We start from the raw sequence: 16913 nt of genomic DNA, 5'->3' as shown, positions 1-16913 counted from the left end.
TTGAACTAGTTTACAGTCCCACCAACAGTGTAAAAGTGTTCCTATGTCTCCACATCCTCTCCAGCACCTGTTCTTTCCTGACTTCTTAATGATCGCCATTCTAACTGGTGTGAGATGGTATCTCATTGCGGTTTTGATTTGCATTTCTCTGATGGCCAGTGTTGATGAGCATTTTTTCATGTGTCTTTTGGCTGCATAAATGTCTTCTTTTGAGAAGTGTCTGTTCATATCCTTTGCCCACTTTTTGATGGGGTTGTTTGTTTTTTTCTTGTAAATTTGTTGGAGTTCATTGTAGATTCTGGATATTAGCCCTTTGTCAGATGAGTAGATTGCAAAAATTTTCTCCCATTCTATAGGTTGCCTGTTCACTCTGATGGTAGTTTCTTTTGCTGTGCAGAAGCTCTTTAGTTTAATTAGATCCCATTTGTCAATTTTGGCTTTTGTTGCCATTGCTTTTGGTGTTTTAGACATGAAGTCCTTGCCCATGCCTATGTCCTGAATGGTATTGCCTAGGTTTTCTTCTAGGGTTTTTATGGTTTTAGGTCTAACATTTAAGTCTTTAATCCATCTTGAGTTAATTTTTATATAAGGTGTAAGGAAGGGATCCAGTTTCAGCTTTCTACATATGGCTAGCCAGTTTTCCCAGCACCATTTATTAAATAGGGAATCCTTTCCCCATTTCTTGTTTTTGTCAGGTTTGTCAAAGATCAGATGGTTGTAGATATGCGGCATTATTTCTGAGGGCTCTGTTCTGTTCCATTGGTCTATATCTCTGTTTTGGTACCAGTACCATGCTGTTTTGGTTACTGTAGCCTTGTAGTATAGTTTGAAGTCAGGTAGCATGATGCCTCCAGCTTTGTTCTTTTGGCTTAGGATTGACTTGGCGATGCGGGCTCTTTTTTGGTTCCATATGAACTTTAAAGTAGTTTTTTCCAATTCTGTGAAGAAAGTCATTGGTAGCTTGATGGGGATGGCATTGTTGATACATTTTATTAGCAAATAATAAACAATGTGTATGTAAACATTAAAAAGAAACTTTGTGACCAGAAAAATTATCTTTAATGAGAGGGGAAGAAATATTTTTACCTGTGAACAAACAGCTCAGTGTTTCTCTCTTTTTTCTTTTTCTTTCTTTTTTTTTTCAGTGAAGAGCCTGGACAGATGATACAGAAAAATGAGCAATTGTAAGAGAGTGAATACTAGAAAGTAAAGTCAAATCAAAACATATACCTTACAAAGCTTAAAAAAAGCAGTCTTCTCTCTACTTAATTTTTCTATCTAGTTTTCTGTTGACACAATTAGATATACTGAATCAAATTATTCAAAGATTTCTTTTACATGGCTTGAAAGTTCTAATTGTACCAACATCAGATTCACAAAATACATTAGATTTTTTTTCATTCTTCTTGGCTGCCAAGTATCTGAACTCCCGTCATATATTTGGCACCTTCTCCCATTAGAGAAACTGGAAAAATGCCTGATGCTTCTCTTCCCAGCTTCTCTTAAAACTAAGCATAGGCACATTACCTGGCCTCTACTAATCATAGGACACACCCCCTGTTTTCAATAGAGGGCCATTGACACAAGGAAGTAAAGTCTCAGATAAATATTTCTAGAGTCAGTGACAATTGCAATAAGATCCCATTTCCAAGGCAGTGGTGGCCACAATCCCTGTAAAAGAATCTCATGTCCTGTGCCAGTCATGTTGACAGTTCAAGCAGCAGTAGTAGTGACATACGGTAGGTAGGCCCTCTGTGTCTGTGAGTTCCACATTCATGATTTAACTACTCTCAGAAAATATTTGGGGGGAAAAGTTGCATCTGTATTGAACATGTACAGACTTTTTTCTTGTTAACATTCTCTAAACAATATAGTACAACTATTTCCATAGCATTTACATTGAATTAGATATCATAAGTAATCTAGAGATAATTTAAAGTATATGGAAGGATGTGCATAGCTTAAATGTAAATATTATGCCATTTTATATCAGGGTCTGAAGCATCTGTGGATTTTAAAGAGGGAGGTCTTGGAACCAATCTCCCAAACCCCCACAGATACTGAGGGAGGACTGTACCAGGCAGGTCAGTTTCACTGTATCATTTGGGACATTACTTATGGCTGTGTGGCCCTTGAGTCTGATACTCCTGTGAACTCAAGAATTCAATTAACTTCCCAATATCCTTCCTTTTTTCTTTTTTACTTTTTCCTTTAAATAATTTTAGATTTATAGAACAGTTGCAAAAATTGTACAGAGAGCTTCCATATACCCTTCACCCAGCTCCCTTTATCCTTAACATCTTGCATAACTATGGTACATTTATCAAAACTAAGAAATTAACATTGGTACTAAACTCTCTTCAAGTTTCCCCAGTTTTCCCACTAACGTCTTTTTCTGTTCTGGTATCCAGTTCATGATAACACATGAGGTTTACTTGTTATGTCTCTTCAGTGTATTCCAGTCTGTGACAATTTCTTGGTCTTTCCTTATCTTTCATCACAGTAACACTATGTGGTCAAGTATTTTGCAAAATGTCCCTCTATTTGGGTTTGTCTGGTATTTTCATGATTAGACTGAGGTTATGGGTTTGGGGGAAGAAAATTCTATGGAGAAGTGATGTGCCCTTCTCAGTACATCATATCAAAAAGCACATGGTTTTGATATGTTTCATTCCTGGTGGTGTTAACCAAGATCTGTTGGTTAACCTGGTGTCTGACAAGTTTCTTGAATGTAAAATTACTTTTTTTCCTTTTCCCTATTCTATTCATTAGAAGCAAGTCACTAAGTTCAGCTCACATATAAAAGGAGAGAAATTAAACTCCACATCCTTGATTTGTGGACATATTTTTAAACTACCACGATAATTAATACATATTTTGAGGGAAATACTTTGAGGCCAAACATCCTGTTTTACCTTAACATTTCACTCACGAATTTTTACATTTGTCCCTAGATCTTGCCTGCAGCAAATATTACTGTGGGTTCTAATGATGATTTTCTATTTCCTTAATTCCTTCTATATTTATTAACTGGAATTATTCCAAAATGAATATTTGTCTAATCTCACTCGTCTGTTTATTTGTTTATTTAATCATTTATTTCTACGTGTCTGGACTCATGGATATTATCTATTCTGTGGTTTATAATCCAATAAAGTTATTTATTTAGTTGCTCAAATTCTTTTTTTTTTTTTTTTTTTGAGATGCAGTTTTGCTCTTGTTGCCCACGCTGGAGTGCAATGGCGTGATCTTGGCTCACCGCAACCTCCGCCTCCCGGGTTCAAGCAATTCTCCCTCCTCAACCTCCCGAGTAGCTGGGATTATAGGCATGTGCCATGACCCTTGGCTAATTTTGTATTTTTAGTAGAGACAGGGTTTCTCCATGTTGGTCAGGCTGGTCCCAAACTCCCGACCTCAGGTGCTCCACCTGCCTCGGCCTCCCAAAGTGCTGGGATTACAGGTGTGAGCCACCATACCCAGCCTCAAATTTCTTATAGCTTAGCTATTGGTAGCTCTTTCAGGTTGTCTCTTATATACTTTTGACATGCCAGCATACTGGTATAAAACACTTATTATTACAGTAATGTGCTGCATAATGATGTTTCAGTCAGCAATAGACCACATATGCGACAGTGACCCCATAAGATTATAATGGAGCTGAAAATTCCTATCACCTGGTGATGTTGTAGCCATCATGACGTTGTAGGGCAATGCATTACTCACATGTTTGCAGTGATACTGGTGTAAACAAACCAACATATACTATAGCACATACAATTATATAAGGTATATAATAATAACAAACAACTATGTTAGTGGTTTATGTATTTACTATTTATACTGTACTTTTAATCTTATTTTAGAATTTATTCCTTCAACTCACACACAAAAAAGTTAACTGTAAAAGATCCTCAGATGGGTCCTTCAGGAGGTATTCCAGAAGGCATGGTTATCATGGAAGATGACAGCTCCATGTATGTTATTGCCCCTGAAGACCTTCCAGTGGGCAAAGATGTGGAGGTAGAAGATGATCTTGACCCTGTGTAGGCTTAGGCTATTGTCTGTGTCTTAGTTTATGTCAAAAATGTTAAAAAAGGTTAAAAAAAAACAATAAAAACCTAAGTAGAAAAAAGCTTATCGAATAAGGACATATATAAAGAAAATATTTTTGTACAGATATACAACATGTTTGTTTTTTAAGCTGTGTTATTACAAAAGAGTCAGAGAGTTAAAAAAAAAGAAAATTTTATAGTTTATAAAGTTTCAGTAAGCTAAGGTGAATTTATTATTAAAGAAAAAATACGTTGAATAAATTAAAGGTAGCCTAAGTATACAGTGTTTATAAAGTAATTCTACAGTTGCACAGAGTAATGTCTTAGGCCTTCATATTCATTCATTGACTCACTCACAGCAACTCTTGGTCCTGCAAGTTCCTAGGTAAATGCCCTATATAGGTATACCATTAAAAAAAAAATTATTTATGCCGGGTGCAGTGGCTCACGCTTGTAATCCCAGCACTTTGGGAGGCCGAGGTGGGCAGATCACTTGAGGCCAGGAGTTTGAGACCAGCCTGGCCAACATGATGAAACCCCGTCTTTACTAAAAATACAAAAATTAGCCTGGCTTGTTGGGCTCACGCCTGTAGTCCCAGCTATTTGGGAGGCTGAGGCAGGAGAATCGCTAGAACCTGGGAGGTGGAGGTTGCTGTGAGCCGAGATTGTGTCACTGCACTCCAGCCTGGGTGACAGAGTGAGACTCCATCTCAAAAAAATAAATAAATACATAAATCATTTATACTGTATTATCACTGTATCTTTTCTATGTTTAGATATGTTTAGATGCACAAATACTTAATACTCTATTACAATTGCCTACAGTATTTAGTATGGCCACATGCTGTACAGGTATATAGCCTAGCAGCAATAGGCCATACCACATAGCTTAGGTATGTGGTAGGCTATACCATCTAGGTTTATATAGGTACATCCTACGATGTTTACACAATGACAACATTGCCTAATGGTGCATTTCTCAGAGCATATCCTTGTTGTTAAGCATGACTATTTCCTTATGTTCTGATGCTACAAGATGCTCCAGGCTCATCATGTATCTTTCCTCCCACAGTCGTAGAATCAGCAATTTCTTCAAGGAATCCTAATTGATTTTACTAGAGAATGGTATTTAGAAATCAATGAGCTTGAAGTGCTTGTTTCTATTTATGTTTCGCTATTTCTAGGCCCTCTCAGAAAAAATATCTAGGAAATACATTTATTTCTGTATATATATATACATATATACACACACACACAGAAAAAATATATATTTATATGCATATCTGTGTGTATATAAACACCTGTATAAATGTATATATTTCTGTATCTCTTTGCCTATATGGATGCAAACATATATTTTAATTTATATGCTTTATATCTATATAGTCTATTTAAATAAACAAGAGTTTATTCTGATGTCTCTGACTCTAATCAGTATAACAGATTTCATTCTAGCCTTTGCTCTTTTATTTGTAGATTCCTTCTCTAACAGTGAGAAAAGTGGCTCTCGGCATCACAATGTATTTATATACACTAAGGACTTCTAAACTGTACCCCATGAGAAATAAATTTACCAACTAACATCAAGTTTTGACACAGAGTTTCCTTTATATTTAACCTTACAGTATCAGTCAAAACATTTTGTTAAAATTACTTAGGTCAGCTCTTTCTTCCCTATACCCTTCAATGAAGTTATCTGATACAATTCATTTGTAGTATAGTTAATGTCAGATTTCATATCCTGGGTTTTCCCACATCCTAGTTAATATGTTTTGCATTTGCATACAGGTTGACACTGTACAGCTCTGAGTTTTGATGAATACATTGAGTCACGGAGCCAACACCACAGGTACCATACAGAACAATTCCATCCTAAGATGCCCCTGTGCTGCCACTTTGCAGTGAATTTCCCCATCCCTCCGTTCAGAACCCCTGGAGACCATTGACCTATTTTCTGTTCCTTTAGTTTTACATTTTCCACAATGACATATGAATGGAATCATTCTCTGTGTAGTCTTTTGTGTCTGGCTCTTTCATTTAACAAAATGCAATTAAGATTCATACATGCCGTTGTGTGAATCATTAGTGAATCGATTGGTTACACAAAAATCCTACTTTTCAATGTCAACTTATCTCATGTTTTCTTCTGAAGCTCTGGAGTAAAGAAGCTTTTTAGATGCTCAGTATTAAAAAATACAGTATTCATTCACTTATGTATTAAACTCCTCCTTTATGCCAGGCACACTGTGATAAGCACTGGGAATTCATCAGTAAACAAGAAGGACGAGGTCTCCTCCCTCACAGACCTTCTAATATATTGTGATAACTGCATTGGGAGAGCAAAAATATTCGTAAACATGTAAGTGTGATGATTAATTCTATGTGTCAACCTGATTGGCCAGAAGGTGCCTAGATTAAACAGCATTTTAATTATGTTAAAGACGAAATGAGCCTCTGAACCAGTGGGCTCCGTAAAGTAGGTTGCCCTCCCTAGTGTGCATGGGGATCATCAAATCTGTTAAGGTTCTGAATAGAACAAAAGGCGAGGGAAGGAGAAATCCATTCCCTTTTTCCCGCCTCATTGCATGAGCTGGGACATCTGAACTTATCCTTCCCTGCTCTCATCCTGGGATTTACATCATGGGCTCCCGTGGGCTCAGGCCTTCGGACTCTGAATGGTTATACTGCTGGCTTTCCTGGGTCTTCAGCTTGTAGGCAGCAGATTGTGGGACTTCTCAGCCCTCCTAATCTCATGAAATTTCTCAATTCATTTCTCATGAATTTTCTCAAGAAAATTTCTTTTGGTTCTCTTTCTTTGGAGAACTCTAATACAAGAAGCATATTGAAGAGCTACCTCACCCAGTCAGGGCCCATGCAGTCTTCCCAAAGAAAGTGACAACTTGGCTGAAAGATGAAGAAAGAGTAAAAAGTAGGAGTGAGAGAGAAGTCACATAGAATAGTTAAAGTGGAAATGGTTCCAGGCCATAGAAATTGTACTTTCAAAGGCCTCCTAGCACATGAGGAAATGAGTCCATGTAGAGAAACTGAGAAATGAAATGAGAAGAAGGAATGAAGTGGAAAACAGCAGGGGCCACTCACGAATAATTACACAAGTCATGGGAAAGTATTTGGACTTTATCCTAAGAGGAAACTGCCCATCAAGGCCTGAGTGTCTCAGCACCCTTTGCCTCACACACTGAGACCATATCACTTCTCATGTATCTCCCAATATTTTAGGATGAACTCCGTGTAAGTGAAATGGTACATTTTGGAGAACACGGTAATTTTCTATTTTGGGGTTGGAGTGAATATAGGAAGTCACTTCAAAACTTGGCTTTACTTATGTAGACTCAATACTAGCTTATCCCAAGTAAAGAGATGATCATGTGTTTGGGTCCAGATTGGAAACATGTTTTTCCTTGTGAAGAAATAAATAAATAAATAAATAACATGATGACAAACGGTAAAATTCTGAATAGGATTAGTGAATTAATTGTGCTTCTAATAACAAAGAGTGGCTCAAAGAGCTGGCCTATTTAGTAGACTTTTCTCCGAAGTCAGTTGACAACTCCACGGCTGAACTACGAATGTTTCACTATGCGATGGGAACGCTGCAACTGTGAATGAAGTTTGAGTATTGGATGCAGAGAGTTGATCTCATTGCTTCCTGTGAAATGTTTGCCTCTCTTCTTTTACTGGACAGTAATTAACAGTATTAATGATTTAAAAGGGAAAAAAAAGCATCAGCCATATCTTTCTTCCCTGAAAATGTTGTTTGATGAATATTTCCCTCCTTCAATAAAACAACCTGATTGGAGGTCCATTGAGTATGTTAAATAAAGAAGCAATTGGGCTGGTAAATAAAAAGATACAGTTAGTAAAATATAAAATTTATATTAGAAATAGTATTTAAAAAATGTTAAAAATGTGAAAACGTTGTACCTGTTGGCAGTAATCTAGCCAGCCATCTTTCCTTAGCATTGCCATTGGTAATTCCTTATTGCTGTGAATCCAGATGCTTAAAATATTGTGACACCAAGATAGGAAAAAAAAAAAAAATGTTGAACCTAGCATGTAAACCTCTCCCCTCCCACCCCACCTTTCCTGCTGACCTATAACATCATGTATACCAACATCATTTAAAGCTCCACACAGGGTATGATTCATACCCACATTTTACAAATGAGGAAAATAAGGCCTACAAAAGTTAAATACTCAACTAAGGTTACATCTGAGAAGTGGTCAAGCACTTGGATGAACTAGATCTACTTGATTCCAATGTCTGTAGTCTCATCCATTTTACATTACTTCCTCATCATCCCTAGTATCAGCAAAATTTTCTGAATTTTATTGCTTCAAAATCCAAGCACCTTATCCAAAAACAAATTGATTAGTTAGTATTTTTTTTGTAATGGTAATTTAAAATATTATCTTTATTTTCTTGTTTGTTTAACACAAAAAGAGCAAACTTTCCATCCGGAAAGTTTATATTAATTTTGGTAATTTTAAACAAATTTTTGAATGTTTAAATAAATCTTATGGTTGCTCTGGGCTTCTGTGGGTATACATTTACTGTCCTTAGATGTAATCTAATCATGAAGCTTGAAACATGTCACAGAACTGCGTGCTATTTCATTTTTCCTTATGCAGATAAAATGCTTTTTATAAAAAGTGTTGTTTTAATTGAAAAAATATTATACACTTATGGAAAACATCTAAATATTACAGAAGATTACAAAGTGGGTAAAAAGTACACATTTTTTATAGCGCACAATAAGATAGGTAAATGGATTAATGCATACTCATGTGAAATTTGCTGTTTTCTTTTCAATCTTGGAATTTCATCCATCAATCTTTTTAATAACTGGGTAGCAATCCAGTACACATTCATAATTTGCTTAACCAGGCCTCTACTGAGTTGAATTGAGATTATTTCTAGTTTTTTGTTATTATGAAAAAAATGCAGTAGTTAAATCCTTATACCTACTTCTCATTTGTGAAAATGTATTTACAGGATAAATTCCTATGTACTATGTAGAAAAAGCATAATATTATTGAGCAATTTCTACACACTATATTAATAAAAACATTTAACCTGTTAGTAGAAAATTTAATGCTTCATGAAAGCCATTCTCTGGAAGTAGTAAAATATAGTTTTTCTTTTCTTTATAGCTATAGTTCATGACTGAACTTAAAGACCATAATAAAGTTACCATGAAACCACAGTGTGTCGAGACAGAGAGCATAGTTGGTTTTTAAAAAAATGTATTTTCTGGAGCCAGGATGACTTAACTTTTAACTTCAGCTTCATCATTTATTAGCTGTGTGACCTTGAGCACATTAGTACTATTCTCTTAGCCAGAGTTTCTCACATGAGATAGCCTAACCATTACCTTTTATAGGGGTAATAGGATCATTGGTATAAGAGAATGCATATAAAGCACTTACCATAATGCCTGGCACATGAAAAGCAGGAAATAAACATTTATTATTATTATATTATATATCTATTAGCTCTATGACTTTTTGGTATGGGTGACATTACTTTTAGTATTCAAATCTCCACAAGCTAATATATTATTACTATTTAATTCATTCATTTATTCAACAATATTTATTGACCACTATTATGTACTATGCACTGCTCTAGTGTTGGGGATACAATAATCCTGTAGAAACATGACTCCTGCTTAACAGCCGTCAAAGTTCTATAGAAATCAGAATGTGTTAGTGTATTTTAACTTCAAAAATAACATTAGTCAATACCATTTGAAGCAGAATTTAGGACATTTCATTATAACTCCAAAGGTTTGTTGTGAATTTAAGTTGATTTTGATACTTTTCTAAAAATGAAAAATGACTCCACAGTTTTGTGGGTCAATGGCTAGTGGGAATTCTTTTTACAGCTGCCTTGTGTCATTTATCTTAATCAGACACTAAATAAGCCATTTTCTTAGTTATTTAGAAGATCATTGTGTCTTTTATATCTTGGCCCCTGGATTGCCAAAGAATATAGCTTAACCTTTATTTTTATCTATCCAGGTGGAAAAATATATAACAGGGTCTCTAAGTCCTAGACGTCAATTCACCTGTTTTAAAAAATATCAGTTGAACAAAAATATTAAACAATAACAATTGCAGTAAAAGGGAACTTAAAATAAATGTATATTTCACAAGAAATATGCAAAATATTTTCAAATATTCAATAATTTAGAATCAAATAGGATATACTTTTCAGTATATTGCTAACCCCTCTGTAGGTATATGTGTTATTATGCAAATATATACAAACAACAAATATTTATATCCATGTCTATATCCATATCCACACACAATATACATACAACATCAGCAGTAGTATTTATTGGGTAAGTAGCAGTCTTCTTATTGTTATTTAAGTTTGTGTGCATAGTTTGAAAATGTTAGTGAGGGATCAAAGCCTGCCCAGAATGATGTCATAACAAGGTAATATGGAATCTGATTATGTGAAAAGCTGGATATTTACACAAAGAGGTCAGAAACCAGCTGGCTACATATAAACTAAGGAAAAACCAACAAACATCCTGAGAAAGTTCTTACTCTTGAGCTGCTGTGGACTTGCAAGCTTAGCACAATTTTTAAAGACCCAGATACTGAGAATGTTTTCTATGTCAGCACTGTTTCACTCAAAAATTTCATGTGGCTTGCTACCCAAATTATCCTGGAGGCACTAAGAAAATATGTTTATTTTTTCTTCACTTGATATTTTTTAAAAATTATGTTTTAAAAAACTGTAGCAACATTCTCTGTCTCTAGGATTCAGCAAAAACACTCAGATTGAATAAAACAACTGTGGATCATTTTTATATGTGTTTTATTTTTATTCTGAAGATCTGAGAATTTGTTCAAATTGGGTTTGGGGAAGAAATTCAATTAACTTGTCTGGACTATTGCTAATACTGGAAGAAACAGTTACCTGAAAAGTCTGCTTTGTGATTGTCTGTCTTCCTCCTTCTCTTCCTCCCTTGCTGCTTCCTTCCTGCTTTCCTGCCTTTCTTCTTTCCTTCTTTTTCTGTTCTCTCCTTTATCTTCTTCCTGTTTCCCCCTTTTCTTTCTCCCCATTTTCTTATTTTTTTTATAACTCTAAAATTACAACCAATATCATTAATGATTGCCTGGTGACAGAGCAAGACTCCATCTAAAAAAAAAAAAAAAGAAAAGAAAAGAAAGAAAATAATATCACTTATAGTGCAAAAACCATTACTAAATTGTCAAAACAACTTTTATCTTCGGCAACTATATTCACTCCTGCAAAAAACTGACAATGTATTCCAAACTGAGAAAATGAGTTATGGGAAGGAAAAAGGGAGCTAGAAATGTGACATTTTAGATTTCTTTCTTAAAAACAGAGAAGACCCCAAAATGAGAAAAGATGGGGAATGATGTGCTAAAGTAAGTATGTTCAAACCTCATAACAGGAATGGAAATAGGCTAGTGCTGTAATTCTAACCTTAGATTGAAGATAAGACTTGTTAAGTATTTTGATGGAAATATAAGTAACTTACTTTTATTTTACAATGCCCTTATTAATTTTTCTGTGTTTTGTTGTTTAGTAATGCTGGATTGCCAAGATTCTTACCATACCATCTAATTTGGGGGGTGGGGGCGGTGTTGAAAAGCACTCCGTGTTGGTATATGGTGCCATTCTTGTTAGAATGGTTAAATACCACAAAAGAAGTCCAAGACAAGTATCACTCAGGAACTTGCTGATAGTGATGTACATTAGCTTATTGATAGACTTTAGTATCTGGTAGAATCAAAAAGTTTCACCGAGGAACAGAGGCATTTTGATGTTTAAAGTGAAATTCCTTTTCTAAACATTTGGTTTTAATAATATTAGAGATTATTATCTAGTTTAACTTGTCTTTTTGCCACATTTATGGATGCTTCATCTGGCCAATCATTTAAATAAGGGAAAAATTGTTAATGATCCCCTTTCAGCACAAGACAGTGTCGTGACAGACTATAGCTTCAAGAACCAAAAGGACATGCACAAATAGTCATAAAACAATAATGATGTAATGACCCACTTGTTTGTCACTGTGACTCAGGGTACCCAGTCTGGGTCAAGATAAAAGAATTGCAACACAAAGCTAAAATGTCAGTGTACACTTGGGCTGGGAAATTCTGTCTAAAGCAATTAATCCCCCCACCCCATCCTAACCGGCTCCTCCTCCTGCCATGTCCACCTCTGCTTTGCAGGTTTTTGAAGTTAAATAAATTTGTGAAACAAAATTGTTCTTTGAAGACAGCTAGCTTTTTCACTTTGTGTGCTAGAGGGCTACCTAGCTTTTGCTTCTTCGTCCCTGGACTAGACAGAAGACCCGACTGTCCCAGAGGAATCAAACACCACACAAAGGTCCCCTAGAGGGTGGTGAGTCTTGAATTTCTCAGGAGAATGTAATTGCTTCTTTGGCAAATACAGGTTTCCCATATATAAGTCATTCACTCATTGTAAGTCCCAATAGAAGTTTTGTTTTGTATTTTTAAAAGTGGAAACAGCTTCATTTTTTATAATTATAAAAATATTTTATGCCTACTGTACAAATCTCAGAGAATTTAGAAAGTTAAGAAGTTTCAATTGTAGTGTTGCTAGTTATTATGACCATTTTTTTGTATACTCTTCTATACTTGTTTTGTTTTCCTATTTATAATACTTTTTTAAATCATACTTTAAGTTTTAGGGTACATGTGCACAACGTGCAGGTTAGTTACATATGTATACATGTGCCATGTTGGTGTGCTGCACCCAGTAACTCGTCATTTAACATTAGGTATATCTCCAAATGCTATCCCTCCCCCCTCCCCCCATGGGCATTCAAAGTCACAGACTTTGAGTTGTTGTTTATCAAAATACATATTTTATTGTGCTAAAAACACATAACATACAATCTACCATCTTAATCTTAAGTGTACAGTTCAGCAATGTTGTTTATTCACAGTGTTGTGAAATAGATTTCCAGAATTTTTTTCTCTTGTAGAACTGAAACTTTATACCGATTAAACAACTCTCTTTTTTCTCTCCCCCCATTTTAGCCAACTTTCTATTTTTTGTTTATATAAATTTGACTACTCTAGATACCTCGTGTAAGTGAAATCATTCAGTATTTGTCTTTTTGTGAATTGGCTTATTTCATTTAGCATAATGCCCTCGAGGTTCACCCACATTGTAGCATGTGATAGGATTCCCTTCCTTTTTAAGGATGAATACTGTTCTATAGTGTGTATATGTACCATATTTTGTTGATCAATTCACCTGTCGATGGATATTTGGGTTGCTTCCACCTGTTGGCTACTGCAAGTAGTGCTTCTATGAACACAGGTGTGTAGCTATCTCTTCAAGAACCAATTCTTTCAATTCTTTTGAATACATACTCATAAATGGAATTATTGGATCATATGGTAATTCTATTTTTAACTCTTTGAAGAGCTACGGTGCTGTTTTCCATAGTGGTTTCACCATTTTGCACCCCCACCAACAGTGCATAAATGTTCCAATTTTTCTCCATCCTCACTGGCACTTGTTATTTTCTACTTTTTAAAATATTAGGCATACTAATGGATGTGAGGTGATAGCTCATAGTTTTAATTTGCATTTCTGTGATGATTGATAATAGTGAACATCTTTTCATATGCTTGTTAGCCATTTTTACATCTTCTTCATAGAAATGCCTATTCAAGTCCTTTACTCACTTTACCCATAAAGTCAGATTGTTTGATTTTTTGTTGTTGAATTGTAGGTCTTTTAAAATATATATTCTAGATATTAATTGCTTATCAGATGAATAATCTGCAAATATTTTCTCCCATTCTGTAGATTGCCTTTTCGTTGTATTGAGTGTGTCCTTTGATGCACAGAAGTTTTTTAGTTTGATTTAGTCCCATTTGTCCATTTTTGCTTTTGTGGCCTGTGCTTTTGTTGTCACATCCAAGAAATCATGGTTAATCCAATATTATGAAGATTTTCCCCTATATTTTCTTCAAGGAGTTTTATAGTTTTGAGTCTTACATTTATGTTTTTAATCAATTTTGAGTAAATTTTTGTATATGACATAAAATAAGGATCCAACTTCATTCTTTTTCATGTGTATATACAGTTTTCTTAATATAATTTGTTGAAGATATTGTTCTTTCCCCATAACCTTGTCAAAGATTATGTCACAATATTTGTGATGGTTTATTTCTGGGCTGTCTATTGTATTCCACTGGTACAGATGCCTGTCTGTATGCGAGCACCACATTGTTTTGATTACTGTAGTTTTATAATAGGTTTTAAAATCAGGAAATAAGAGTCCTCCAACTTTGTTCTTCTTTTTCAAAATTGTTTTGACCATTCAGGGTCCCTTGAAATTCCATGTGAATTTTAGTATAACTTTTTAAAAAATTTTAGTGAAAAAATTGCTATTGGGATTTGGACAAGGATTGCATTGACTGTGTAGGTCACTTTGGTAATATTGATATCTTAATAATGTTATGCCTTCCCATCTATGAACATGGAATATCCTTCCATTTATCTGTATCTTTCAAAATTTCTTTCAGTAATGTTTTGTAGTTTTCATTGTACAAGTCTTTCAACCCATCTGTTAACTTTGTTCCTAATATTTTATTCTTTTTGATGCTACTGTAAGTTGTTTTCTTAATTTTCTTTTCATATTGTTCATGGTTAGTTTGTAGAAGTGCAAATGACTTTTATATGTTGATTTTGTATTCTGCAAAATCTGATGAATTATTTTATTAGTTCTAACAGGTTTATTTGCGTGTGTGTGTGTGTAATTTTTAGAGTTTCCTACATATACATGTCATCTGTGAAAGATAATTTTACTTCTTCCAATTTATTTTTCTTGCCTAATTTTTCTGACTGACATCAAATACTATATTGAATAGTAATATTTATATCAGGCAGGCATTCCTGTCTTGTTCCTGATCTTAAAAGAAAAGGCTTCAGTCTTTCACTGTTGAGTATGATATTTTCTGTGGGCCTTTCATGTATGGTCTTGATATGCTGAGGTAGTTTCATTCTATTCCTAGTTTGTTGAGTGTTTATTTTTTAATATATTACGAAAGGGTGTTAAATCTTATCAAATGCTTTTTTCTGCATCAGTTGAGATGGCTGTGTGTTTTTGGTCCTTCATTTGGTTAATATGATGTATTATATTGATTGATTTTTGTATATTAAACCATTCTTGCATTCCAGGAATAAATCCCAGTTGGTTATGGTGTGTAGTCCTTTCAATGTGCTGTTGAATTCAGTTTGCTAGTATTTTGTTGATGATTTTGCATCAATATCCATTAGGAATATTAGTCTGTAGTTTTCTTTTCTTGTAGTGTGTTTATCTGATTTTGGTATCAAGGTAATGTTAGCCTCATAGAATGAGCTTGAAGTTGTTCCCTACTCTTCAGTTTTTGGAAGATATTGAAAAGGATTGGTGTTAATTCTTTTTTTTTTTTTTTTTTTTTTTTTGAGACGGAGTCTCGCTCTGTCGCCCAGGCTGGAGTGCAGTGGCGGGATCTCGGCTCACTGCAAGCTCCGCCTCCCGGGTTCACGCCATTCTCCTGCCTCAGCCTCCCAAGTAGCTGGGACTACAGGCGCCCGCCACTACGCCCAGCTAATTTTTTGTATTTTTAGTAGAGACGGGGTTTCACCATGTTAGCCGGGATGGTCTCGATCTCCTGACCTCGTGATCCGCCCGCCTCGGCCTCCCAAAGTGCTGGGATTACAGGCGTGAGCCACCGCGCCCGGCCGGTGTTAATTCTTTAAATGTTTGGTAGAATTCTCTAGTGAAGTCATCTGGTCCTGGAGTTATCTTTTTTGGGGAAGTTTTTATACAAATTCACTATTTTTACTAATTATTGGCCTGTCCAGATTTTCTATTTCTCATGGCTCACTCTTGGTAGGTTGTGTATTCCTAGGAGTTTATCCATTTCTTCTAGTTTATCCAATTTGTGGGCATACAATTTTTAAAAATACTCTCATATAATCCTGTTTATTTCATGTAATGCTCCCTCTTTCATTACCGATTTTAGTTATTTTAGTTTTATCTCTTTTTGTTGATCTTTTTAAAAACATGTAGTCTTATTTTCATGATTTTAAAAAAATCTATTTTATCTGTTTCTGCTCTAATCATAATTATTTCCTTTCTTCTGCTAGCTTTGGATGTAGTTCTTTTTTTAGTTCCTTGAGGTGTAAAGTTTCGTTGTTGATTTGAGATCTTTGTTCTTACTAAATGTTTATCTATAGCTATAGACTTTCCTCTTAGCACTGCTTTCACTGCATCTCAAATTTTTCTTTTTTGGGATGGAGTTTCGCTCTTGTCGCCCAGGCTGAGTGCAGTGGTGCAATCTCGGCTCATTGCAACCTCCGCTTCCCAGGTTCAAGTGATTCTATTGCCTCAGCCTCCTGAGTAGCTGGGATTACAGGCACCCACCACGACACCCGGCTAATTTTTTTGTATTTTTAGTAGAGAGGGGGGGTTTCGCCATGTGGGGCAGGCGGGTCTCAAACTCCTGACCTCTGGTGATCTGCCCGCCATGGCCTCCCAAAGTGCTGGGATTACAGGCATGAGCCACTATACCTGGACCATCTCAAACTTTTGTATGTTGTATTTTTATTTTCATTTGTCTCACAGTATTTTTCTAATTTCCCTTGTGACTTCTTTGATTCACTGATTGTTTAAGAGTATGTTGTTTACTTTCCACATATTTGTGGATTTTCCTTCTGTTATTGATTTCTAGTTTCATTCCAATGTGATTGGAAAATACATTTTGTATAATTTTTTAAGACTTGTTTTGTGGCCTAGTTAGTTTGTGGTTTATCCTGAAGAA

The 16913-nt window shown here is 35.2% G+C and overlaps 1 long non-coding RNA gene across 1 annotated transcript; it reads right to left on the bottom strand.

Moving 5' to 3' along the window:
- Nucleotides 1-1040: 1040 nt before the first annotated feature.
- LOC105379053 (uncharacterized) lies at nt 1041-11488 on the bottom strand. The gene is made up of 3 exons (XR_948511.2): nt 11008-11488; nt 7995-8070; nt 1041-1153 (listed from the first exon to the last, which is right to left on the bottom strand). It is a non-coding gene; the product is annotated as an uncharacterized LOC105379053 (long non-coding RNA).
- Between the last annotated feature and the right edge of the window lie 5425 nt (nt 11489-16913).

The sequence above is a fragment of the Homo sapiens genome, chromosome 5, assembly GCF_000001405.40.
Source record: "Homo sapiens chromosome 5, GRCh38.p14 Primary Assembly".
Lineage (NCBI taxonomy): Eukaryota > Metazoa > Chordata > Mammalia > Primates > Hominidae > Homo > Homo sapiens.
The sequence above is the reverse complement of the archived record's forward strand: the minus strand, read 5'-3'. Positions and strand labels throughout refer to the sequence as shown.